Genomic DNA, 27,716 nt, shown 5'->3' with positions numbered 1-27,716 from the left:
AAATGCCTTAAGGATGAGACTAGGTAGAATTCTACATAAATTCATTTTTTCGCATTTTAGTGGCATACCCTGGTTTTTAATTTTTTAAACAAATGATACAGAGCAGTGGTCCCCAACTTTTTCGGCACCAGGGACCGGTTTCATGGAAGACGGTTTTTCCATGGATCCCGAATGGTTTTGAGATGAAACTGATCCACCTCTGATCATCAGGCATTAGTTAGATTCTCATAAGGAGCATGCAACCTAGATCCCTCGCATGTACAGTTCACAGTAGGGTTCATGCTCCTATGAGAATCTAAAGCTGCCACTGATCTGACACGAGGCAGAGCTCAGGCTGTAATGCTCGTCTCCTGCTGTACCTCCCGGTTCTTAACGGGCCACGGTCAGTGGCCAGGGCTAGGGCTTAGGGATCCGTGAAATAGAGATAATACTATTAGCTATAGTAATTTACTCTAATAAATTTTTTCCTTATACTTTAAAAATAATCCCCCCCCCCGCCCCCATAATCCTTCCCCACCCATCCCCACTGCCAAGGAATTTTTTTTTTTTTGAGACAGGGTCTTGCTCTGTTGCCCAGGCTGGAGTGCAGTGATGTGGTCATGGCTCACTGCAGCTTCAACCTCCCAGGCTCAAGCAATCCTCTCACCTCAGCCTCCTGAGTAGCTGGGACTACAGGCACGTGCCACCATGCTCGGCTAATTTTTGTGTTTTTTTTGTAGAGACTGAGTTTCGCCTTTTTTGCCCAGGCTTGTCTTGAACTCATGGCTTAAGTGATCTGTCCGCCTCGGCTTCCCAAAGTACTGGAATTACAGGTGTGAGCCACTTTGCCCAACCAGCAAATTCTTTAATGCTCAAATTGACTTGCCCAGAGTCTTGATATTTTTTTTTTAAAGCTTTCCTATTTTGGGGGGAAATCTTCAGCTAGCATACTTAATGTTTAAACAAAATAGAGAAATTTTCATTCATACATACAAAAGTAGTGGGAACTACCCAGCTTAAACAATTTGTCAACACATAGTCAATCTTATTTCATCCCCATCCCAATTTACTACTCCTGACCCAACCTTCATTATTTGAAGGAAATCTGACGTCAAGTAAGTTCATTCATAAATAAGTATTCAATATGCTATTTGAGAAGATGTAACTTGTGAAAATTTCTACCAGTGCAGAACTCAGTGTTTCAAAGCTAGAATGAGGCCAACAGGCAGTTCATGATTATTTGCCTAACATAGGCAATAATTACTATATGGGTTCAGAGGAAAGAAAATTCCTATTACTGGGTTCTGTGAAGGCTTTGTGGAAGAGGTAGTATATAAGGTGGATTGGTATTTCTGGGCTCTTGGAGACTAGGGGTAGCATCATGCATTATGGACCAAGTAGAAGACATGGTGCTTGCAAAGAACTGTAGAAGCCATTTAGACTATTCAGAATAGAGTGATTAAACCAATATGGCTGGAGCAAAGGTCACTAGGTAAGAGTGGAAAGTAGGGTTGAAAGGTTAAGAGGAGGCCATAGGACCAACATAGTGAAACCCCGTCTCTACTAAAAATAGAAAAAAATTAGCTGGGTTTGGTGGCAGGCGCCTGTAATCCCAGCTACTTGGGAGGCTGAGGCAGGAGAATCGCTTGAAGGCAGGAGACGGAGGTTGCAGTGAGCTGAGATTGTGCCATTGCACTCCAGCCTGGGCTACAGTGCGAGACTCTGTCTCAAAAAAAAAAAAGGAGGCCATAGGAAAAAGGATCTAAAATGCAAGCCTAAGATGTTTGGCTTTTTTGCTTATGGGGTAAAAGTCCACTGAAAGCTGTTAAGCCAGAGCTGTTGTCAAAGTGGTGTTTTAGGAAGGGCTATGTGGATAGTGTAGAATGCAAAGAGACGAGCAAAGTTAGCTTATCATAGTGATTTAGACCTGAGGTGATGCAGACTTGATTTGGGCAGTGGCAATGGAAAGGAAGGCTGTGTTTAAAGGTGATCACTTAGGAAGTGATCAGACATGGGAGATATGAATAAAATAAGAGCAGATAAAATCTATCAGGGACAAGCTGTAGAGGAGTGCTGAGGATGGTGCATTGTAGGAAAGGCCTACATTTAAAGATTAAGGGGAAAGGAGTTAAGGAGGTACAGGGAGCTGACTTAGGTAGATTTTTCTCGTGCGTGCTTGCGTGTGTGCGTGTGTGTGTGTGTGTGTGTGTGTGTATAGCAATAATATACATTCTTTTAATTTGGCGGGTTTCTGATTGTTTTGTATCTAAGTACAAAACAATAATTCTAATTTCATGTTTTTAGTCTCAGATGAAGTTTGATTTCTGAAGAAAATTGTTATTTAAAGTTAGGGAAATGTTTCGTTGAATACTTACTGTTGTAAGTGAGAAGTAAGTGTTAACATTTAAAGAGATTTTAAAAAATAGAAAGTTGGCCGGGCGCGGTGGCTCACGTCTGTAATCCCAGCACTTTGGGAGGCCGAGGCGGGCGGATCACGAGGTCAGGAGATCGAGACCATCCCGGCTAAAACGGTGAAACCCCGTCTCTACTAAAAATACAAAAAATTAGCCGGGCGTAGTGGCGGGCGCCTGTAGTCCCAGCTACTTGGGAGGCTGAGGCAGGAGAATGGCGTGAACCCGGGAGGCGGAGCTTGCAGTGAGCCGAGATCCCGCCACTGCACTCCAGCCTGGGCGACAGAGCGAGACTCTGTCTCAAAAAAAAAAAAAAAAAAAAAAATAGAAAGTTGATGTTTCTTTTAGTCTCAAACATTTCCAGTGCTATAGCTTACAGAATTTTTAGTGTGGAGATTTTTATTATTCCCCATAAAGTATTTCCTGATACTGATGGGAAGTGATGTGCCTCTGAACATGCTGTTTAGCTATCTAGCTAGCCATCTGCCATCTGTGACACCCCTTGTCACTCACAGGCCATTTCATCTTACTCCAGTCTGGTGACTGCTACCCCCATCATGTTAGAAATTGATTTGAAAATAGACTTGTGTTTATTTAGAGCCCTGGCCTCATAATGGTTTGACTGAACATTATGATTATCCATGTTATCAAAGAAACAAGAAAAGGTATCTTCTGCTATATTAGAGCGGTGATTTCAGAGTACAGTTTCACATGCAGGCAGCAGGTCTTCTGGAGATGTAATTTTATGTCATAGACTGGCAGGGCATATTATAGTTGTCTAGCTCAGGTAATGGTAATTACAGGTAAGTTCACAGTGCGACAAAATATGAGTACCACTAAATTAAAGTGAGCGTAATCTGAGTATTTCTGGTTTCAATTACTTTTTTTTTGTTATTTTATTTTTATTTTTAAGTGATGAAATGTTCCTATGTGAACTGGAAAAATACAATTCATGTTTTGATTTTCATTTAATTAGTATGTTTCTTCAGGGCTTTTTTCAGAGTTTATTTAAATAGTGGGTAGAAGAAGTTAAAGGTGTGATCACAGTTGGTTCAGGAATGGCATATCTAGGGGGCAGTTGGTAGGGAATTTTTTTTTGTGGTTGAAAGTGAAATAGTATTTCATTACTGGGATTAGAAGTAATCATAATGGGCAGAGAGAACTGAAAATGACTAATATCCTTCACTCAGTCTTCTAGAGTTTTTGAACTTCCCTAAGTTACAAATTGATGCTTTTAAAATAAAAGCTTAGTCACTTTAAGTCTTGGTGTTTCTGAGACCAGGACCTACAGCAGCCATTATTGAGGGTAGACAGGTGATTAAACTTAATCACTTTGGGTAAGACTAGAACTTAGGTGACAGTCTTTTTGTTCATCTAGCATTTATTTCCTCAGTTTGCCTCTCCCAGGGTCAGTTTGCTACTGTACAGATGGTCTGTATCTCATCTCATGGGCAGAATTCCTACTTAATCATTCCCTTGGGCCTTGCCCTCCTCCATGTTTGCTTTCACCTCCTGAAGAGTAAAGTCTCTGGCCTAAAATCCCCTGGGGCAGCCAGGTTGACTTTCCTTAAAGCACCACAGACAGACTGTAGCAGTTACGGAGAAGAAAATGGCTTGTACTACTGTTTTCTGAAGGCAGCAGTATATATGATAGATACTTGTAGCTATCCAATACAGATGTTTCATAGAATTCCATCTGTAAAACAGGAAATGGTTATTCATTATGAATAAGAATTTACTGGTTACTAGTGAATATTCCAGCTTTCTTTTGGATATGCTAATAGTTAAAACTTCTACCTTTTTTCCTTCATTGCCAACTTAGTTTATTAGTAAAGGATGTCTAGCCTTTTTGTTTATAATAAATACCTTCCTTTTTTTTTTTTTTTTTTTTTTTGGAGATGGAGTCTCACTCTGTTGCCCAGGCTGGAGTGCAGTGGCACAATCTCAGCTCACTGCAACCTCCGCCTCCCAGGTTCAAGCAATTCTACTGCCTCAGCCTCCCCAAGTAGCAGGGATTACGGGCGCACGCCGCCACGCTGGGCTAATTTTTTTGTATTTTATTAGAGATGGGGTTTCACCGTGTTGCCCAGGCTGGTCTCAAACTCCTGAGCTCGGGCAATCCGCCCTCCTTGGCCTCCCAAAGTGCTGGGATTACAGGTGTGAGCCACCGTGCCTGGCCCCCCATTTCATTTTTAAAATTAATAAACAATAGAAATAATATGAAGCCGTGTTAAACTGCTGATGAACTGCTAATCTAGATGATAAACATAAGTGATCACATTTCGTGAGTATAGCCTTTTAATTGAGTTCAAATTATCTTGATTTGGGGGAGAGATCTAAAATGAACTGGTCTCTAATGAGTTTTGTTCTGTAGAGGAACATTGTGGTGAGGCTCTATTATGTTTTCAGCTGCAGTGGATAACTGACATTTCAACTTTAAGATAAGGAACTACTTATTGCAGGTTTAATTTGTGAAGTTTGTCAATTGATTCCCTCATAAATAGCTTCCTATTTGTCTCTAAGCCATAAGCTAAGAACAGTATGCTTATCTTTTTGGTAAGAGTTACTGCCTGAGTATTTCATCTTCTGGAAAATGAATTTGTTGAAATAAGGTGTCTACTCTAGAGCTGTTTTTTATTGCACAAAAGAGATCTATGTGAGAGACAGCTGATTGAGAATTGTCATTTTATTTTATTTTATTGAGACAGAGTTTTGCTCGTTGCCCAGGCTGGAGTGTAGTGGCGCCATCTCGGCTTGCCGCAACGTCTGTCTCCTGGGTTCAAGCGATTCTCCTGCCTCAGCCTCCCGAGTAGCTGGGGTTAGAGGCATGCGTCACAACGCCTGGCTAATTTTGTATTTTTAGTAGAGATGGGTTTTCTCCATGTTGGTCAGGCTGGTCGCAAACTCCCGAACTCAGGTGATCTGCCTGCCTTGGCCTCCCAAAGTGCTGGGATTACAGGCATGAGCCACCGTGCCTGGCCACAGAATTGTCATTTTTATTTTGTGGATTTTGTGTTTTCATTTTTTTGTGGTATGTTAACTAGTTTATCAGAATGTCGTTTACCAATAACTTGAGTATCTGATATCTGATAATAAGGACCATATGGCTATTGCAGCTTTTTGTTGTTGTTGTTGTTTTTTGTTGTTGTTTTTTGAGACAGACTCTCGATCTGTCGCCCAGGCTGGAGTGCAGTGGTGCGATCTCAGCTCACTGCAAGCTCCGCCTCCTGGGTTCATGTTATTCTCCTGCCTCAGCCTCCTGAGTAGCTGGGACTACAGGCGCCCGCCACCACGCCCGGCTAATTTTTTTGTATTTTTAGTAGAGACGGGGTTTCACCGTGTTAGCCAGGATGGTCTCGATCTTCTGACCTCGTGATCTGCCCGCCTCGGCCTCCCAAAGTGCTGGGATTACAGGCATGAACCACTGCGCCTGGCTATTGCAGCATTTTATAAGTGACATAATGGCAGAGTAATGTTACTAATTTTTCATATTAATTTAGGTCATTAGTAATACTTTATTTCTTATGTGGTAAAACACATTAATCATGAAAATATTTTCTAGCTTAGTTTTAAAAATTCTTTGCCATATAACTTTTAAATAAACAATAATATTTATCCCATTGTGTCTGCAAATGAAAACTACATCCTTTAGTATTGAACTGATAACGTTTTTTGCTCTCAGAAAGTTACCTTGTTCAGTGCTAGCCTATAATGGTGTTTGAAGTTTAAGAGTGGCATTGTTGTTTGACTCAGCAAGGAAATATATAGGAAATATTGTAATGAAAATAGAATTTCGAGTGGTAGTAGATTATTTCTGACTTGAATTGAAGAATCCCAGAAGACTTCCTAGTTGAGGTGGAGGATATTTTAGCTGGGCTTGGAGGATTTAATAGCTTTTTGATAGGCAGGATGTTGCTGTGCTCCTCCTTCCATCTGGAAAGACATGACTGGAAGATTCAAAGGTATATGGCATATTTTGGTGATTTAGAGTTTGGAATGTAGGCTACCAAAGCTGGTGGGAAAAGAGTCTGGGAAAAATTATATAACAGATATAAAGCTTTCGATGACTTATTAAGGAGGTGAAGCTTTTTTGTCAACATTGAGGAGCTTGAACATTTAGAACTTGGTACTGGATGTGTGGCTGAGACATGGGGGCGCTGAAAGATTGTGATGTGGCCTTCTAGCTTGGAGAATAAAGCACTAAGTGGACAGCAGCGCCACTGACACAGGTGCGGAATATAGAAGATCAGGTTTTGGGGTGGAACTCTGGTGGGCAGAGATGGTTCAAGTTTCGGACAATATTGCGAGTGACTTGCTATTTTATTTTGTGATACCGAGTATTCTGGAAGTCTAGGTTAGAGTTGGAGTTGAGCTTTGCTTGTGTAGAATCCTGTACTCTTTCCTCTGGTTTTTTCTTGTATTGTTCTTGTTGTTACTGGTTGTTATTTTCATCTGCCTGCTGAACTCTATACCTTGAATTGTGTTTCACGAATACTTAAGTCATGTGGTTGTGGAAAAAGAATGTTGATAGCATCTTCAGTTATCTTGAAGTGTGGTGGGACAGAATACCAAAGAGTTTGTGACAAGTCCGGGGTGTATTGCTGTGTATTTGACCCAGATAGAAGTTTTCTTGTTCCAAGAGAATATTTATTGCTTGGTTTTTCAGCCTTTTTCCTTTTATCTTCCTATGAGTTATTTTTCTTTTATTGTGGTCACTTGGTGCAAGGTTAAGTTCTAAATGTGACACATTGGCTTCTTTGAGAAGTATTCTACAATTCTCACAATTTTCTTGTGACATATCACACTGACTTTGTTCTAGCACATTTATTTAGTTCAGAAAATTTATTAGGTAACACTTTGGGGCATTATTCCTATAAAAACTTTCTTACAGATTAATGCCACACAGGAAAAAAATTTTTTAGGAAAGACTAGTCCTCCGTATAATTCTGGCACTTTTGTAACTTTCCAGCTTTGGCAGTATTACTTACAAGAAGTAAATTATTCTTCATATGCTTCCCTAAGGGAGGAGTTTGGCTAACAAAACTCAGGTCAGCATTGTACAAGCATGTTCACAAATATTTGCTCTAGTTTTCTCATTTCAGTAGTATTAGAGAGCATTTAAATATTGTCAAGATGTAAGAATTTTTTTATTGTGAGTGTTATGAGCCCAAATTGGTAGCTCAGATATCACATAGATTCCACATATTTGTGTGTGTGTGTGTGTGTGTGTGTGTATGTGTGTGTTTTAAACAAGGGTTGCTGACTTGAGAAGAATTTGTTCTCAAGTTTTTTCTGATTATTGCTGGCGTAGTTGTATATGTAGTACTTGCAGGGAAAAAAAAAGCATTTCAAAATCAATTTGGAAAGGAAGTTTGTGAGATTGAAGACATTTTTAGTATGCCTGTTACACTGTGCATGAAGTTTGGATTTAGGTTCTCGCAGTAGTTGCTGAGTGACCAGTGGGATAGGCTGTGGCAACATGTTATGTATTCCAGTGGACTACCTAGGGGAGCATTATATTAGGTGACACTTGATTTTTTCTTACAGGGAAGTTACGGAGTTCCCTGTAAAACTTTAACTTTTTTTTTTTTTTTTTTTTTGAGATAGAGTTTTGCTCTTGTTGCCCAGGCTGGAGTACAGTGACGCGATCTTGGCTCACTGCAACCTCCACCTCCTGAGTTCAAGCGATTCTCCTGCCTCAGCTTCCTGAATAGCTGGGATTACAGGCGCCCACCACCATGCCCGGCTAATTTTTTGTATTTTTTATTTTTTTATTTTTTTTAGCAGAGACGGGGTTTCACCATGTTGGCCGGACTGGTCTTGATCTCCTAACCTCAGGTGATCCACCTGCCTCTGCCTCCCAGAGTGCTGGGATTATAGGCGTGAGCCATCGCGCCTAGCAAAACTTTAACATTTCTTTAAAAATATGTAAAATTAGAATGGGGTATCAATTGAGGGTAGGGGAAGACATGAAGAAAAGGCTTATGTGGAGAATATTGTTGCCTTTTGTTCAATTAACCTTACTTTCTTCTAGTCCAAGTGGTAAGAAGTTCAGAAGCAAGCCTCAGTTGGCAAGGTACCTGGGAAATACTGTTGATCTCAGCAGTTTTGACTTCAGAACTGGAAAGATGATGCCTAGTAAATTACAGAAGAACAAACAGAGACTGCGAAACGATCCTCTCAATCAAAATAAGGTTGGTTAATTTACTTATCGCATGTATATGCTACTTCGAAAGCTCTTCAAAAAGTATCTCACATCATAATTAAGTGACTGGAATTTTGGTTGTCCAAATGTCCCGTGCATGTCCCCATACCCTGCCCACCCTGTCCCAGCAAGAGAGAGCATAAGTAAATTGTGCACAGTAGAAAACAGCATTTCAGTATCTCTCTAGGTCAGTGAACATCATACTTTCTGACCCACTGGGGCTGTTTACAAAAGGTTTCTTTGGTGTTAATTGTCTCCTTTTTTCTTTTTCCCCTCAAAATAGTTCCTGTTGACCAAAAAGTGGCAAAATTTTAATGTGTCAGGTATCTTCACCCCATAGTTTATAATTACGTATTGATTTTCAGGTTCAGATTTTGAGAAAGGGCAGTGTTTTTTTGACCTTTGATGATGTTGAGGATAATGACTTTTTGAATAATATCCTAATTCTATGTTTGGATATTTTTCCGTTAGCGCTTAGTTTTATCGAGCTGTTTGGTTGATAGTTTATTGTATAGCAATTTAAGCAAATCTCATTTGAATTATGATACAGTTTGAACATTCCAAATCTGAAAAATATCTGAAATCTGAAACTCTTCTGGTCCCAGGCATTTCAGATGAGAGATACTTAAGCCTGTACTAATTTAATTATGTTAAAGGACCCAATATCTTTACAAAGAAAGCTGCTTTTTCCCTGGGGACAACTAAACATATGTGACTATTTTTTCTTAGTTTTTCTTCCTCTAAACTTCAAGGATCTGTGTGTATGGGTATTGCCACCACCATTGTCTTCACACTGACAGTGAACATAGTGGAGGGAGAAGTAGGGGCTCTCTTTCTTAAGATGTGACTGATGTAACCCCATAAGTCCCTTGGGAGTGTGTGTTCATTTTAGGAACCCAGTGGCAGTGTAGTGGAATAAGAAGGGCTTTGGACCCAGGAAGGCATGGCTTGGTGAACTGGCTCTGCTACTTATTAGCTGATGCAGTCATGAGAAACTTTCTTAGGCTCCAAGGGCCTTCAGTTTCTCATTGGTAAAATTAAAGTAAGAAAATTTTCCCTTAGCATTGTTGTAAGGAGTAAATGGGAATTTATATAGAACATCTAGCAAAGTAAATTTGACCTATGTTAATTCCTTTGCTTTCCACACTGCTCGTTCCCTAAGCCACCCCCTTCCTGAGCACCAAGCCACCTTGGTGAACAGTGTTGCCTGGTGGCCTGCATTGGAAACTTTCTGACCCGAGCTCTCTTGCCTCTTGTCATGTTACATTTTCTGAGGGGCATGGGGTCTCTGCTTCATACCTGGCTTCACTCAATTTGTGCAGTTTACAGTAATATAATTCCTGATAATTGATACAGAGGTCAAAATGCATTGTTTCTTCATATCATACCTCGCATTGGTTTTCATAGGGACATTGGCAGGTCCTTTGTTTAGAGAGGCAGAATGAAAGAGAAGGCTAAATTGCCTCTGTATTGCTTAACTATGGGGTGGATTTGAGTTGGTCATTATGAAGATGTTAAGAAAGGTAAGAATAGCAGTAGAGGGAGCCCAAGTTAGCAAAAGTTAGGACCTTGTGTGTGTGTAAATCACTGTGATTTCAGCTTCAGGAAACCTTTATTCTGGGGTTACTTTGCTTCTTAAATGCACAGAGGAAAATTCAGGTGTATTTTTCTAAAATTGCCATCTTAAAACACAGTGCTGGGTACCTATAAAAGGGGCTTCAGTATTTATGAAATGAAGAGTACTTTTAGATTACTGTACTGTTACCAGAACCACAGTTTAGTTATGTTAAGTGTAATGTGCAGATTTATTTTCTGACACTTATGTTTCATCAAAAACCAAACACTAATTCATCTCTTCAGTTTGTGTGCACTTTTCTGCTCTAGCTGCGCTGGAACACTCATCGTCCTGCACCATGGCATGCGCTTTCAAGACTCTGCTTGCTCATACGCTGTTTGCTCTGCTTGGAATGTGCTTACCCCCTTCCCCTTCATCTGGTGAACTCCTACTCATCCAAGACCCAGCTTCATTGTCTCCATCTCTGGGAAGCCTGCCCTGCATACTCCAGGCAGAACCAATCCTTTCCTCCATAATGCTTCCCTGGTGCTTTGCCATTGTATTTGTGACTTGTTTGTCTGCTTCAGCTAGACTGTGAGCTCCATGAGGGCAGGGACCATGTCTTTTTTTGCTTTTGCACACGGTAGGTACTTAATATTGCTTTATGTTTATTTGATTTACCATCCACCTCATTCTAGAAGTGTATAGTGGTAATAAATGTTTATTAAATAAATAAATTATACCGTACATTATTTTGGAAATACCTTTCATTTTCATTGTTTTCTGAAGCTTTCTGCCTTAATTTTTGGAGGCATGGTCTTTTTTTGCATCTGATTTTATTTAAATGGTCAGAAAGTGGAGTTTTGCATTTTAAAAAATAAGTTCTCTTGGAAAGTAACACCAGCAACATATTAGATAGTTCTATAAAGCAGAAAATATATTTGTGGCTAGTTAAGTAATAACTATATTATGTCTTTTTTATGATGGTACAGTGTAAAGAAAGCTAAGAGCTTTAAAGTAATTAATAGAAATCTGAGGTAATGTTTTGCTTTGTGGTTGTGAATCTGGCTTCAGTACATTATTGTGTTTGTTTTGTTTTGTTTTGAGACAGAGTCTTGCTCTGTCGCCCAGGCTGGAGTGCAGTGGGGTGATGTTGGCCTCCCAAGTTCAAGCGATTGTCTCTTCCTCAGCCTCCTGAGTAGCTGGGATTACAGGCACCCACCACCACGCCTAGCTAATTTTTGTATTTTTAGTAGAGTTGGGGTTTCGTCATGTTGGCCAGGCTGGTCTCGAACTCCTGACCTCAGGTGATCCACCCACCTCAGCCTCCCAAAGTGCTGGGATTACAGGCGTGAGACACCACGCCCAACATGTTTTGTTTTTAAACTCTTATCTTGAAAGAATTAGAGCTTTAATTGACAAAATAAACTTTGAAACAGGCTACATTATAATTTACATTAAGTAATTACAAGCTATGATTTTAACATGTTTTCCATATCAGAGGTGAATTACTGGTGATGAATAATATCTTTAGGTGTGATTGGAAAGATGTCTTTTTTTTTTTTTTTTGAGATGGAGTCTCGCTCTGTCGCCCAGGCTGGAGTGCAGTGGTGCCATCTCAGCTTACTGCAAGCTTTGCCTCCCAGGTTCACGCCATTCTCCTGCCTCAGCCTCCCGAGTAGCTGGGACTACAGGCACCCGCCACCACGCCCGGCTAATTTCTTTGTATTTTTAGTAGAGACGGAGTTTCACCGTGTTAGCCAGGATGGTCTCGATCTCCTGACCTCGTGATCTGCCCTCCTCGGCCTCCCAAAGTGCTGGGATTACAGGTGTGAGCCACCGTGCCCGGCCAGAAAGATATCTTTTTAAGAACTCTGCACAGTGGTTTTTAATTATTTTAGGATGGGTGGGTAGGGTGAAGTGGGCATCATTTTTAATCTCTACTACTATTTTTGCAGTACCTATTTCAGATATCTCAAACTCAATCTTAACCTTACCCTGAAAATCGATTCCATTCTTGATTACATTATACCTTATTGATTTTCTTGACTGCCATAATTATTTCCAACCACCACCTCCATCTCTTCAACTGACGTTGAAATATCAAGAAGGTTACTGAAGATATTCCATTAGGTTAATGGAAAAAGACTAGAGAAAGATTTGGAAGTCATCAGCACAGTTTATATTTGAAGTCATGAGCAGGTTTCTCAGACCTTAAAGGGAAAAAGTTACAGAGCAGCATATCCAGGGGAACATTCTGTGATGACGGGACTCTTTTCAGCCACAGGTGGCTGTTGAGTGCTTGACATGTGGCTAGTCTGACTGAATAACTCAATTTTTTTTTTTTTTTTTGAGACGGGGTCTCGCTCTGTCGCCCAGGCTGGAGTGCAGTGGCGTGATCTTGGCTCACTGCAAGCTCTGCCTCCCGGGTTCATGCCATTCTCCTGCCTCAGCCTCCCAAGTAGCTGGGACTACAGGCCCCCGCCACCACGCCCAGCTAATTTTTTGTATTTCTTAGTAGAGATGGGGTTTCACAGCATTAGCCAGGATGGTCTCGATCTCCTGACCTCGTGATCCGCCCGCCTCGGCCTCCCAAAGTGCTGGGATTACAGACGTGAGCCACCGCGCTCGGCCTCAATTTTTAGTTTTACTTTAAAATTAAATAGCCAGATGTACCTAGTCACTATCCTATTGAACAGCACGGAGCTTTGCCTCTCAATATGCAAATAAGCTTTGCGCCTCAATATGCAAATAAAAACCAAACCTTTGCTTCAAAAGCTAAATATTGTTTAGGGATTTATGTTTGATTTTTCAAAGAGGTGGTGTTGCAGGGTTTCACAGATGTGACTGTCAACATTTTTAGCAGGGAACTGGGAGGAGAGGCAAGATGATACTAAAATTGAATTGGAGACACTCTAGGATTGGATAAAGAAGAGTACAGTGATTCTAAGTGCAAGATATGTTTTAGGGGACTTCATGCAGCTTGGTTTGTCACTAGAAGTTTATTTTAGTGTTTTAGATGTATAAACATACTGAATTTGTGTTTCTAGTCTTAACATCAAATGTTTTATAAATTAAATCTACAAAACTAATAAAATTCAAGTTCCCTAACATTAATTTAATGTGACATATGACATATTCTACAAATTGCTTACAATATGAATATGGTATGGAACAAATTATTTTTTAGTTTTGCTTGACAATACTACTGGTATCTTGGAAAGGCTCAATTCTTTCGTCACATTTCTCTATTCACCCAAATTGGATACATTTGAAAATAAAGAACATCATATTTTCTTGAATGGAATCAGTTGTGTGTTAAGTCTGCCATTATTTATTTCTCATGAATGATCTTGGTTTAAGGTGGTAGTATGTTTTTGTGAGTATAAATACACACTTGGATTGGTATATGGCTGTATACTAGGTTCTCAGTCACATGATCTAGAAAGTACTTGTTTTAATTATCAACAATAATAAAAAATTTTGTGGAGAGCTTACCTATCTTGGTGGCAATTTCTGTGTAGTTTGAGAAACTTAGTAGTGATGATAAGAATCAGATTTGGGTATATAGAGTGGGGCACAGTATGGAGACTGGATTTGGGAAGGGATGAAACTAGAAGTAGGGAGAATAGTTGGGCTCTTGTAGTCTAGAAAAATAAAGATGGCCTGAATGAATTCTGTGCAGGAAGTATGGAAAGGTGAGACTCGAGAAATTAGATGTAAGTACCTGATGGTTACACAAAGAGAATGGATGCTGCAATAACCCTGGCTTTGGTCACTTGGGGCAGAGGAGTCAGGGAATAGGGGAATAAGGGCAAGTTTTGGGGGTGGAGTGAGGAAGATCGAGTTAAAATAGTTTTGTTTCTTGGACTTCCAAAATGATCTTGGGGACCCCCAGGAATTCTCAGGTCACACTTTGAGAACTCCTTTCATAGTGTTTTTGTCATTGATAATGCCCAAAATAAGGACAAATGAAGTGTATCTTGTCACTCTGTAGGTCCATGAATTAAATGAATAAATGAATCTTGTGGAGAGTAAGAGGACCTTCCAGAAAATAAATAGGAGAATCAAGAGAATGTGGTGTTACAACAACCTGGAAAACAAGATTTTTGTTAGAGATCAGGGAGGATAAAGACTTTGTCTAGCCATTGGATTTCTAAATTATGAAGCAACTGGTGACTTTACCAGTTTCAATGGATAGAAAGGATAAGTCCTATTTAGAATTCCAGAAAGTTTCTGGGAAATGAGAGACTAGAAACACAATGTGCCTGTTCTTTCAAATGTTTTAAAATTTTATTATTATTTGGTTAAGTAATTTGGGCCCATAATGAAAAGGATATTCAGTGAAAAATGTCTCCCTCTCTCCTGTCTCTTAGTCCCAATCCTCTTTAGAGGAAACTTGTTAATGAGGCTTTTTGTATGTTTGTCTAGAGCTTATATGCATTTACAAACATGTACACATACATGCATTTTTTACCCCTTTCCTCACAAATGGTTGGCCTACTCTTAAGAAGCTTGAATGAGAAGAAGAGAGAAGACAATATTCAGAAGAGAATGCATGATCAAAGAACATTATGGTTATTTTTCCTTTAAAGATTTAAAGAGGTCAGCTTGGAAGGAACCAGTAGGCAGGGAGGTTTCTAATCTGGGCGACCATGCCTCAGAAAGACCTCCAGGAACCTTTGAATTGTGTGCAATTTTTGTGTGTGTACATTTTATTGTTGAGACGGTCTCACTTTCTCACCCAGGGGGAAGTGCAGTGGTGCAATCACAGTTCACGCAGCCTTGACCTGGGCTCAGGTGATCCTCCCATCTCAGCCTCCTGAGTAGCTGGGACTACAGGTGCAGGCCACCACTCCTGGCTAACGTTTTGTATTTTTTGTAGTGACAGGGTTTTGCCATGTTACCTAGGCTGGTCTCAAACTCCTGGGTTCAAGCGATCCACCTGCCTTGGCTTCCAAAGTGCTAGGATTACAGGCGTGAGCCACAGCATCCAGCCTTGTGTACATTTCTCCAAGAGCTTATTTTCCTCAAATTCTCAATGGAATCTATAACTGAAAAATAACCACTTTTTTAAAAGCAGGAGAAGGAGCTTGGCAGAAGATGTGAGGGAGTAGGTGAAGAGCCAGGTCACTTGCTGCAGCTCAGATTAGGCATTTGTTTGACTATGGATTTTTCAGTTAATGAAGTAATGCCTTACTGGGTTGACTTATTTCTGCCTGAGGTACTTCATGGTCAGTTCACCACCATCAGAGCCCTGTGGTAGGACCATTCTGATGACCAGCTCCTGGTAGGGCATAGTGTGGTAAGAACTGCCTCTTGGCTTCTACCTTCGTAGGATTCCTCCATCCAAACTGAAAACAAAGACTTCATTTATTCCACCAACATTCCTGACCTATGGAGAAAGTAAAATTGTTGCCAAAGATACTGATACCCTTTTTGTCAGTTATTAAAGTCTTGCTCAACTGAGTGTTGTCTGGTCTCTGTAGATAAAGTTGGGGACAGGGAAGGGGAACGAATAGGTCGTAGGTGATAAGTCTAGCATTTCTAGGCCCTAAAGTCCCTCCAAGGGATAAGTGTGGGCCACTGTTGAGTACAGGTTTCTATTAATTTGATACTGAAATCAAAAGTAGAAGTGAGGAGCAAGTAGCTGTTGTAGTATGATGATGATGATTTTGATGATGATAATGATGATCTAGACGCGTGCCCGTGGAGATAGAAGTGGACAGATTCTAAATCTCTTGAAAATAGGATTGACTGGTTTTGCTGATGAGTCGTGTGTAGAGCATAACACAAAAAGAGTACTAAAGGGTGAGTTCTTGGTTTTTAGATTAAGTGGGTAGATAGAGGTGCCATTTACTGAGGTCACTTTAGGGAAATAATTTATGTGAGTAAATAAAATCAATTTTAAATATTCAACATTTGAGGTGCTATACAAAACCAGAAGGAGAAGCTTTCCTTGTAGAGGCAGTAGCCAGTGTAAATTCCCTAAGGAAGGATGCACTCATCATGTGAAGACAAAAAGGCCAGGTTGGCTGGAGCTTAGGGAGTGGAGGAGTAGTACTAGGTGAGGTTTAAGTAGGCAAGCCTGGTAATAGGGCTGTGCCAGCCAGCATAAGGAATAGTATAGAATGCTGTCTGAGGGTTTTACATAGGGGGAAATACGACTGCTTTGACTGTGTGTGGAAAATGTAGAGACACAGAAGTGGAAGTCGGAGGCCAGTTAGGAAGCTGTTGTATTTGTCCAGGTGGGGATGATGATGACTTGGACAGTGCTGGTTTAATGAATGAATAAAGGAAGAAAGGGAAAGATGTAGCAAAAGACAGTAGAACGAGTTCATGTTCTCTTGTTCAAAGAGCTTCTAATTTTCTCGTATACAGAAATATTTTTAATAAGTGAATACATAAAGGATATTTAGCTGATATTCTTTAGCTAATGAAGATAATCAGGTTATTAGCTATTAATAATAGTACTGTTCCATCTTTTTGGCTAATTTGAGTCATGTAGCTATTGATTGGATAGCGATTGCTAGGAAGCAGAGTGACAGAAGAATGTTAGCCATGTTAGCAAATAGGCTTGCTGATGAGAATGATTTGTTCAGTATGATACTAGCTGTATTATATTATAAACTAGTGCTTCAAATGTGTCTAAGCGTGATAGAACTTTCTGAGAGGGTCTGGACTTGGCTATAGTGATAATCATGAAGGGAGATTCGGAGACAGAGTTGTCCATGATATGGCTTTAACAAGATTTGTTTGGTATGCCCAGGTGTTAACAGAACTTTTATAGGTCCTGAAGAGTTAACCTAACTTGCAGACTCCAGGTCAGCAATAGAATTAAGCCCTACAGAAAACCATTTGTGTCACTATTTCCATAGTTCTCCCAAGGATGTGTACATAGCTAATGCCAACTGAGAAGTAAAGGAGATGATTAACGCCATAGAATAACTGTCTGAGTTTGAGTAGGACTGTTCTAGGATATCTGGCTGAAACTCTGGCATCTTTGGTGATGTCCGTTACATTAACTAAAGCTCCAGTAAGTTATTTTTCAAGCAGAACTCTTCAAAACGTGTTTTCATTGATGAATTGTAATCATTCTTCTGTGAACAGGTGTAGTCCTTTTTAATGAGCTCAAAGTATACTCCATCCATCCTATTAATATTTTAATATGCCATTAATCTCCTTTAAAAAATCTTGTTACCCATATAGAATATTAGACTAAGTGGATTTTCTGCATAGACATCATGGGTACCAGATAATTTTTTCTTTACTTTTTGTAAAAACCTATGAAGTTGCACAAATTAGTGAATATACTAGAAACCACTGAATTATATATTTTAAAATGATGAGTTTTGTGGTATGTGAATTATATTAATTAAAAACTTACGAAGAATTGTAAGGCACTTTCCATTGTTGGCATTTGATTTTGTGGAAAGACATTCACTATGGACTACCGTATATATTCTGGAGCAAATCTCCAATTACTTTTTGAGAATAGCCTTGATTTGACCTAAAGGTATCACTCAGGCACACCTTTGTTTGAACCAGGGGATAGCTTTATTTCTGGGAAAACTTAACAGGTTAAATTTCTAAATTTTAATAGCATGTTCAATAACCTGTTTAGGTTAAATAAATAACTGCTATTTATTTAGAATTTGTACCAACATGACTATAAACTCTAAACTTGTTTTACTAAGCGCTGGTTTTTTTCTTTTTTTTTATGACTATATATGGATGGTCCAGTTAGTGCCTGCCACATAGTAGGCACTCAGTTTTGTTCAATGATCAACTGAATGAAAGCTGCATTTGTAGCAGCAGCAGCAGCATAACATGCATTATCTCGTTTGATTTTTATAAGAATTTTATCCAATAGCTATTATTATTCTCATTTACAGATGAGGAAACTGACCTTAGAGATATAGTCTCTGCTTCTCAAATTGGAGTATCTTTTGGGGAGTGTGCGGTGTATGCAAAAACCACAGAATTAAAATGACGCTTGAATAATACTTGGAATTGTCAGTTTTATTTGAACATTTTGGGTAGGTAGAGCAACATTTTTACCTTAAACATGACTAATGTTTAAGGTAACGTGCAAAATTTGTGTGAATTTTAAAGATAAAATGAGTCTACTAGGCTTGGACCCTAGAATATGTACAATTTGAACTGTCATATCACTTTATTTCAAAGCCATACTGAAAAAAAGTGGTATTTACAATATAGTATAGCGTAAGTCCCTGGTGCTCAAACTATGCTGTGTGGAGGCTTTACATGATATTCATAGACATGGATGGTTTTAAAGGAATCCATTTCGATATCTTTAAATTCCATATACACTCTTTCCTTCAGCTGATCTGAGAATGTAACCTGTGATAGAAGTACACATTATTTTTTCTGTAATTCTCCTTTATAGTCAACCTCCCATTTTACAGAACAGCATACTTCTCACTTGTATGCAATATTACCATGGTACAAAATGTTTGATATCATAAAGGGACACTATGAGATACTGGATTGAGAACACGAATGACTCAGGCACAGTCAGTTCTTTCCACAAGTACAATTACTTGCTTTCAACAAAATTTAGAGGACTTTATGTAGATGTTGACTGATTGTTAAATTTTTTTGATGGTTCACTGTTACATTCTATCATATAACTCAAAAGGAGTTCAGAGAATTTGAATGGCGTGGAATAAAATTCATTCTATCTACTCATTAATGTGAACAACATTTCTCAGTGCTACATCTATGAAAAAGGAAGACTAGGAATAGAATTGATGCTATACCTTGTCCCATTCTAGCAATTAGTAATACACACTTGAGAACATAAAATTATTTAAAAAATTTTTTTCATTAAGCTACATATATATATATATACACACACACACAACTTCTATATATGTAATTTAGGTACTAAAAATTGTAATACTTTATTTTGGTCACATATATACTAATAATTATAATAAACCAGAAGAAATTTGTTGTTTTATCACTAAGAGCTTTATGGTCACAGAAAGTGAAATAATTTCATGATCAGTGAAAGATTATCAGGTTTAAAATAAGAAATAAGTTTGGAAATGGAATTATTCAAAGAGTAAAGGGAATGAAAATTTATAACCATTGAAGAGTTTGTTCGTATATAAATAGGTAATGTAGGTAATGGTGGGTGCATTTAGATTCTGTTAGATTTAACAGTTTATTATTAAATATTAGCATTTAAATTCTGGTAAGTGCATCCTTTGCAACTGATTACATTAAAATATGAAATATTCTTGCTGACTTTAAAATGCAGGTGGGGTATATATATTTTCAAATTTCTCATAAGGGGTAGAAATACAAAAATATTTGACAGCCACTGGCTTATGATACATGTTCTTCATCTGCCTCTTTAGTTATTCTCTTGTATCCTTAATCATGTGAGATCATTGGAAGGTTACACAATAATTAGGCCCTTTCAGACTCACCTTTACTGAGTTGTCCTTTAAGTCTTATGTTCTTGGTTTTCATGGAAAGTCACTGAAAAAAGAAAGAGCATTTGAAATCTGCTTAATATTTGTTTTGAAGTTTAGTGTCTTTATCGATTTTCTTCTAGATTTAATACCTGGACATTTTTTGTTTTCCTCATTACTTGGTATGCGTCCTCCTTTCTGACCATGGTATCTGTGTAATTGAATGTTTCTCTCTTTGCCCAGGCCCCTTGAAAATTCAGATCCACATTTGATGCTTAGCTCTAGTATCACTATTGATCTTTTCCAAAGGATATCTGTTTTTTTCCTTGTTCTTGATTTTCTGTTTTTAAAAATTAATTTTTGTGTATTTTGTCCTTTGGGAGTGTACAAAAGATATATCTCAGATACTTACTGGAAAGAGAGGAAGTAAAATTTTTAAAAATAAGAAAGATTTATTTTTATGTTCCTCCCTGCAACTAGGGGATAAAATAGATCCTCAAGAAAAATACTTTCAGCCTAATATACACATTATTATAAAATGTATTAAATTTTGATTTGAGGGCTAGTCTGTACATAGTTTTGTCAAAGGTTGGAAACTTAGTTCTGATATTAGAATGTGTTTGCCAGTTTAATTTTGTAACAAAGAATTTCTGCTTCACTTTTTCTTATATTGAAGATATAAGAAGATTGCATATACATAAACAGCTTTAATCTTGTCCCATAAAAAAGTGTCTGGCTTTTAACTCCGACGGTGATGGTAGATTGGTCCTTTAGATTCTAAACTAAACTGTAGAAAAACTCAGACACACAACTGGGCATAAATTAATAGTGACTCAAGGCAGTCCTCAGGGTAGAGGTAATAGAATTGACTGTTTCTTTGACAGTTCCTGGGAAAACTAGTTAGTCCAGCTTTACAGATTGCTCAGCTTCATGTGATACTGTTTTAGAATAATAAATTAAAGACATTCTGTCGTCAGAGCTTCTAGGCCAGTTAAAAGGAGAAAAAATACTAAAAACCAAAATAAGATTGAGTGAAGAATAATGCAGCACATTTTGAATAATGTCTCATTCTGTGCCAGTAGGGAATGAACTGTCTCATTAGACAATGGAAGTTAGTTGTATATCTTAAATATTTTAGCCAGGCTTTTCTTTTAATTTTTTTTTATTGCACAGAAACATAAGTGAATGGAAGAACGTCCATCTTACCAGTGTAGCATCAATAGTTTGACCTGTTCCATGCTTCCTTCCAGTCTTCATGGATTCAGGATTCATAGTTTGAAACAGTTTAGAGTAGTTGCCTCCAGTCATCCTTGGTAACAATGAGAATCTCACAGGTTTGAATATGTTTACTCATGCAGACGGTTGCAAATACTTCTGTGTGTCTACTGAAGTAGACACATGATGCCACCTTTGTTCTAATACCAGCAGAGTATATCATTCTTTATTAAGAACAAAGGCTGGGTGCAGTGGCTCATGTCTGTAATCCCAGCACTTTGGGAGGCCGAGGCAGGCAGATCACAAGGTCAAGAGATCGAGACCATGCTGGCCAACATGGTGAAACCCTGTCTCTACTAAAAATAAAAAAATTAGCTGGGTGTGGTGGTGCGTGCCTGTAGTCCCAGCTACTCAGGAGGCTGAGGCAGGAGAATTGCTTGAACCCACGAGGCAGAGGTTGCAGTGAGCCAAGATCGCGCCACTGCACTCCAGCCTGGTGATAGAGCAAGACTCCGTCTCAAGAACAAAAACATTAAAAGCCAAACAAGGCATCGTTTAGTGATACATACTGATTATACCTAATTAGTGACAAGAAGTTCCCTGTAAGCATTTATGTGTGAAGCTGCTTAAGGATTGAATATTGTCTACTGTTGTTAACAGGTTGGGTGACTTCACTTAGGGCCTCCAAATGGTCGAGATGTCATAAATCAGAGGTGTTCAAACTTTCTTTGCATCACAGAATGACCAGGAGAGCATTTAAAATGCGTACTCCTGAGCCTCACACTTCGTAGAGTTAGCAACCTAAGTGGTTACTTTGCAGCTTGTCAGCCAAATTTGCACATTTTATATATTTTTTGAAAATCCATAAAGATAAAGCTAAATACCTGAGAAATAATACTGTTAGTCATTTGAGATGAGCATATCTTTTAAAGGTAAGCAGAGACATTGGGGGAAAAAAATGAGATAAAGGAATGACAGGATTGCCCAATACAAACAGGAGGGCTGTGTTGTGTGGAGAGGTGTAGAGGTGAGGACACATTTAATATTGGATCTAAAGAATACTGTAATTGTAATAATTGTCAGATTATTGTGAGGCTTACATTTCTAGGCATGCTAATGTTCTTTAAGTAGAGGTCACAAACTCAGTGCCTGCAGGGCCCAGACAGGTAATGCAAATGTGACTTGTTGAGGAATGTTGCAACAGGAGACCCTGAGGCCACTACTGGACAGCCATTTCTAATCAGTCACAGCCTATTGTTGCCAAACCAAGTCCAGTATTTCTAGATCTTTCAGTTTTTAAGAGAAGCTAGAATTCTGGATTTTATATGAAGACTCTAGATTTTTAGGTGCTGACTTAATTCATTAAAGGCACTAAAAAATGAACACTCATCTCTGGGTTAGGCTTGATCCACCTGCCATCAAATTGCAATCTTTGTTTTAGAGCTGTGTTTCTCCAGGTGTGGTCCCAGGATTAGCAGCATCAATATCACCTGAGACCTTAATAGAAATGCAAATTCCTAGGCCCTATCTCAGACCTGCTGAATGCCCAGTGCCAGGGGTGAGACTCAGTCACCTGTGTTTTAACAAGCCCTCTGGGTGATTCTGATGCATGCTCAGGCTTGAGAACCCCTGTTCTGGAGCATGGAAGTTGAGATTACAATTTATATGTGGGGGTAGTAGTAAAGATAAAAGTTCATCAAATATCCTGTAAATATCAAAAATATATCAGACGTATTTTGTTTTCAGGTATATGTTACTTCATCCTTTTTGCCAGAATCTGAGAAAACACGATAATTGTGTTTTCTCCCTTTTCTTTCTTGTTTGTTAAGAGTATTGCAAATGAACTTAATAGCAATTCTGTGCCACATTTTGACCTCACTGGAACACATCGTAGATTTTATTGATTGATTGATTAAAACTAGGTAAATAAGTTATATGGCTTTACGAAGCTTCAGTGTTAAGTCTCCTTTAAAAGTATTAAATATAATATTCAGTAAGTCCTCACTTAATGTTGTTGATAGGTTCTTGGAAACTGACTTTTAGCCATATGATGTATAATGAAACATATTTACTCTAGGCTAATTGATGTAAACAAAAATTAAGTTCCTGTGGCATATTTCTGGTCACAAAACATCCCAAACTTCTAAATAAAGACCAAAACACTTCTAATGATAAACACTGAAATTAACGTGAGCTCTCCACACATTTAAGAAAGATTAATATAAACAAGATTATTATTCACCCACTGATTCCAGTTCAGGGTCGTGGGTGGCCAGAGCCTCTCCCAGCAACTCAGGGTGCCAGGCGGGACCCCACCCTGGACAGCACCCCATCCCATCACAGGTCGCACTCACGCTCACTCAGGCTGGGACCATGTGGATGCTCCACTGAACCTAAAGTGCACTTATCACTGGGATGTGGGAGGAAACAGGAGTACACAGAGAAAACCCAAACAGACCTGGGGAGAACATGCCAAATTCACACAGATGGGCTTAGGCTGGGAATGGATTTTTTTTTCTCATCGTTATAACAAAATGACATTGAACAAAACGACATTATTCAAAGACCTACTGTATATTAAAAATAAGGAACACTTCCTTATCACATTTTTCTAAATTGAGTTCTGTTTGCTGGAATTAGAACTACCATTTGTACATATTTGTTTTTATATAAAAGAGGTTAATTTATGTGGTTTTATGTAAGTCTGGCCTCCTAATTGCTGATCAGGTTGTTTATATTTTAATGCCAAGTATGCCAATATTTTCCTCCATTCTCAGAATGTAGAAATGATTGCTATCCTGATTGGTATCCTTAAAGTTCTTGGCCAGGTGTGGAGGCTCACACCTGTAATCCCAGCACTTTGGGAGGCTGAGGCCTGCAGATTGCTAGAGTCCAGGAGTTTGAGACCAGCCTGGTAATGTAGGGAGACCCCATCTCTACAAAAAAAATACAAAAACTTAGCCTGCTGGTGGCACTGCCTATAGTCCCAGCTACTCGGGAGGCTGAGGTCGGAGGATTGCTTGAGCCCAGGAGGTCAAGGCTGCCGTGAGCCATGATCATGCCACTGAGCTCCAGTCTGGGCAACAGAGTGAGACCCTGCCCCTAAACAAACAAGCAAAACCCCAAGTTCTTTTTTTGGATAAACCAATCTTAAACATATTTGTTCATTTAAAAGTCATTAGTGCCTTGCTGATCAGATAGGAAATTTATGTAGAGAATTTTCTTACACTTAAAAGTATACAAAAAGCTGGCCGGGCGCGGTGGCTCACGCCTGTAATCCCAGCACTTTGGGAGGCCGAGGCGGGTGGATCATGAGGTCAGGAGATCGAGACCATCCTGGCTAACATGGTGAAACCCCGTCTCTACTGAAAATACACAAAATTAGCTGGCTTGGTGGCGGGCGCCTGTAGTCCCAGCTACTCGGGAGGCTGAGGCGGATGGCGTAAGCAGACCCGGGAGGCGGAGCTTGTAGTGAGCCTAGATCGCGCCACTGCACTCCAGCCTGGGCGACAGAGTGAGACTCCGTCTCAAAAAAAAAAAAAAAAAAGTATACAAAAAGTTTTTCATATATTTTGAGGAAACTTCATACATGTTTCACTTATTAGGTGCTTAACATGTACCCTAGAGTATTTAAAATGCTGCGATAGACTGAGAAGTTTGGAATAATTTGATTTAAAGTAATAGATATTGAATTAGTAGGAAGTCATCTGATTGTGTTTATATATAATATTTTAAATAAAAATACATTTATATTCACAGGGTAAACCAGACTTGAATACAACATTGCCAATTAGACAAACAGCATCAATTTTCAAACAACCGGTAACCAAAGTCACAAATCATCCTAGTAATAAAGTGAAATCAGACCCACAACGAATGAATGAACAGCCACGTCAGGTAAGGATCTAATTCGTTCTCCAATCTTATTTTTCAGAAAAATGCTGGTATTTTTACCAGAAATAATTCAAATAAATTCTGGTTAAAATGGAGTATATTTGGAAAGAAAATTATTTTATGTCCTAGGCTATTACATGAATGCTGAAGTATGCAAAATTTAGGTAAAATATTTTTAAGAAAAAATTTAAGAAGTTAATAATGAATCTAATTCATAATATGGACTAAATTTTTATGCTTTTCGTGTGGTAATATACATCAGACTTGGTTCTGCTAATCTTAGTTTTTTAAAGATTATCTTTCCAAGGATAATATTTCATAGAAGAATGAAGCATGTAGTTTGTGTTGCTTAGTTTAAAAATATTTTGTATTATTTGGAAGCTAAAACTACTTTTTATTCTGATTTCTTGTTTTGTGAAATCTGTCCCACCCCTTTTGAAAAACAGAATTAGATAAACTTTGTCAATATGGTATATTGTCCTGTGACTTCCATTTTTGTACCAATTCAATTTATTTTTCTCTTTCTTTATTGCTTCAAGCTGTATTCCACCAGAATCTTTTCTTAGAAAAAAAGCATTACCTGAAAGGCCTCCCTGCTGCCTGTTAATGCCATATAGCCCGGGGAGGGAGACTGGACAAAATGCTGAAACCTTCCACGTAACCTTACTTATTCACTCCCTAATTGTGGTCAAAAAGCCTAGGTAGTTCATGAATTTTTAGTAGCAATTGGGGTGAGGGAGTGGAGGGAGAAACATCTGTGCGTTTTTTTTTCTCTCCTTTCTCTGCCTCCTCCCACCTGAGTCCACCTAAGGATTAGAAACACTGATTTACCTACGACGGTTATCTTTTGCTCTCGTATTCCCCTTTTAGATGTCTCACTCTACCTTTTCATTTGAATTTTGTTTTTCACTAGTCCTTCAAGTGTCTCATCTCCAGACTTCATAAAGGATTGGGCCAAAACTTTCAGACAGTTGCTCTAGAAGAAACTACATAAAGAAATTCAGTTCCCACATCCTCTGTAGTGTTTTTTCCTCTTCAGGTGAGCCAGGAAAACAGAAGATATTTGGAGCCACATTGGATCAGCATCTTGCTATAGATGTCTCAAGATTTGAAGTTCTAAACTTGCTTTACTGTTGGTCCCCAAGAGATTCAACAGGGGCCATGTAAGTGTATCACATCCAACATAAAAGATGCGTACCTGCATGTGCCTTTAGGCTCTTGTCACCACTTAGGTTTTCTTTGGGCCATTCAGCTTTCTGTGTGAGGCTTTTCCCTTCTGTTTTACTACCACACCCAGTGATAGTCACGAAACCACAGGAGGTTGCAGTATATTCATTACAACAGGGAAGGAATTCTGGCATTCTGAACTTTGCCCACCTTGATAAAGCCGTTCCCTGGTTGTATTCTTTCTCAGATACTGTCTAAAGTCTTGAACATCTTGTCCTTTGACTTTTTGGTGATTTAAAAATCATTTCCCCAAAAATATATTTATTAATTGAGAATTTTGAAAGTATATAATTGGGTAAAACAGATTTGCTTCAAAAATTCTGAAAGATAAAGAAGGTGGAATGTAATCTTTAATTAGTAATATCATTCCACGTTGGAAATTTGAGTTTCCTTATGAGATCAGATAGTATTTAATAGATTTTATCCTCATCTTTTCTTTGCCAAATCATTCTCAATGTAGTCTGTAAACCCAAATGTTTTATTTAAAGATGAATTGATTAGCAAATTCTGGCCGTTTTAACAGTAATTTAATTATTTTCTGCACCTAAATTCAGTCACAGTTTTAAAAACCTCTAGTAATTATTTACTGGGTGTTTACCTGGCTATAGAGATATTGGTAACTTAGAGTTTTAAAGTTGAAATAACCAGACTAGTTGCTCCTTGTTCTTTGGTATGTTGAATAGTTTTAAGTTTTCCTTCTTTTATTATGGTGTATGAGATTATTCTCAAATGAAAGGTATGTGTCCAAAGAGCAAAGTTCTATCTCCTCCATCTCTCCCCAAAAAACTTACGTCATTTCAACCCAGATCTTTTGAGGGTTTAATCTTCCTTTTAGCTTGCATAGACAGGAAGTGTTTAAAATTATTTAGCAGGCCACTTCTCCAAAAGCTTTGGCTGTTTTTTACTTTATCCTTATGGTACCTGACAATTTTTGCTGGATGCTTTTGATTGTGCTAAGATATTAGTTGTCTTTCCTCTTTCTTTATCATCAATGTAAGAATTGAGGTAATATTTGACCACTGTCTCACCAATAGGACTGTGCATTGGGCAGAATATTGGAAAATAGTAAAAAGACAATTTTCATGTTAATGTTTTAAAAATCATGATCTGTTATCCCAAGTATTCCAGTTTAGATTCAGTTTGTTAGTAAAGGAAAGATGTTGGTTTTAATTCTATTTTGATATACATATGGTAGATGACTGCTAATCAGCTATTTGTAATTGAGGAGATAGTTGGCAAAATATACATAGGCAGAAATGATTCTTCCAATTTTGCTATCCATTCTTAGATTCATTGAATTCAGTTGATAATATAAATTGCCAAATATTCCAATTGGAGAAGTTATTTTTATTAGAGAGTAAATGAATTAGACAATGAGGTTTCTATTTTTGAGGTTCCCATAGATATAAATGTTTTTATTCTTTGTATCACATTCTTTTAATAAGATGTTCAAGATAGTGATATTGTAATTCCTTTTAAAGTGTTGAATTTTGAGGCCTATAACTAGGATTAGGCTTCTGAATATTAACTAGGCTTTACTGTGAGAAGATCTGAAATGTTTAATTTAGATGAGAAGCAATCATTAAAAATAATAATTCTGTCTTTTATAACCAACATCCTATGCCCAGGTCATTTATATGGCAGCCTAATTTGAATTCTATAAAATATATAAATTACGAATTTTTAATGTATTGACTCCTTGAAAATGCCTTAGCTTTAAAAGTGCAAATTAGGGTATGAAAAGAAAAGCATTAAACAGAATTCAGTAGTGATTTCTACTTATA

General features: G+C 38.4%; 1 protein-coding gene across 2 annotated transcripts in view, besides 3 other annotated features; it reads left to right on the top strand.

Moving 5' to 3' along the window:
- Positions 1-27,716, top strand: part of MBD2 (methyl-CpG binding domain protein 2) — a 73,064-nt gene that overhangs the window by 11,088 nt on the left and 34,260 nt on the right. Inside the window, exons 2-3 of one of the 2 annotated variants that reach the window (NM_003927.5) lie at positions 8,425-8,584; positions 24,571-24,708. In NM_003927.5, the coding sequence (NP_003918.1) occupies positions 8,425-8,584; positions 24,571-24,708 (298 nt within the window). Of the gene's footprint in view, positions 1-8,424; positions 8,585-10,479; positions 10,912-24,570; positions 24,709-27,716 lie in introns of those variants that run through there. The other variant, NM_015832.6, reaches the window with a different exon arrangement.
- Positions 3,386-3,725: an enhancer, noted in NCBI's record as "active region_13341". NCBI's record gives its function as "activates an Ori minimal core promoter by ATAC-STARR-seq in GM12878 lymphoblastoid cells {active_cell/tissue: GM12878}" and the evidence as "EXISTENCE:reporter gene assay evidence [ECO:0000049][PMID:35858748]".
- Positions 3,816-3,865: an enhancer, noted in NCBI's record as "active region_13340". NCBI's record gives its function as "activates an Ori minimal core promoter by ATAC-STARR-seq in GM12878 lymphoblastoid cells {active_cell/tissue: GM12878}" and the evidence as "EXISTENCE:reporter gene assay evidence [ECO:0000049][PMID:35858748]".
- Positions 4,736-4,936: a silencer, noted in NCBI's record as "peak3156 fragment used in MPRA reporter construct". NCBI's record gives its function as "represses an SCP1 promoter by STARR-seq MPRAs in K562 erythroleukemia cells {active_cell/tissue: K562}" and the evidence as "EXISTENCE:reporter gene assay evidence [ECO:0000049][PMID:32103011]".

The sequence above is a fragment of the Homo sapiens genome, chromosome 18, assembly GCF_000001405.40.
Source record: "Homo sapiens chromosome 18, GRCh38.p14 Primary Assembly".
Classification (NCBI taxonomy): domain Eukaryota; kingdom Metazoa; phylum Chordata; class Mammalia; order Primates; family Hominidae; genus Homo; species Homo sapiens.
This window is presented reverse-complemented; position numbering and strand designations above follow the sequence as displayed.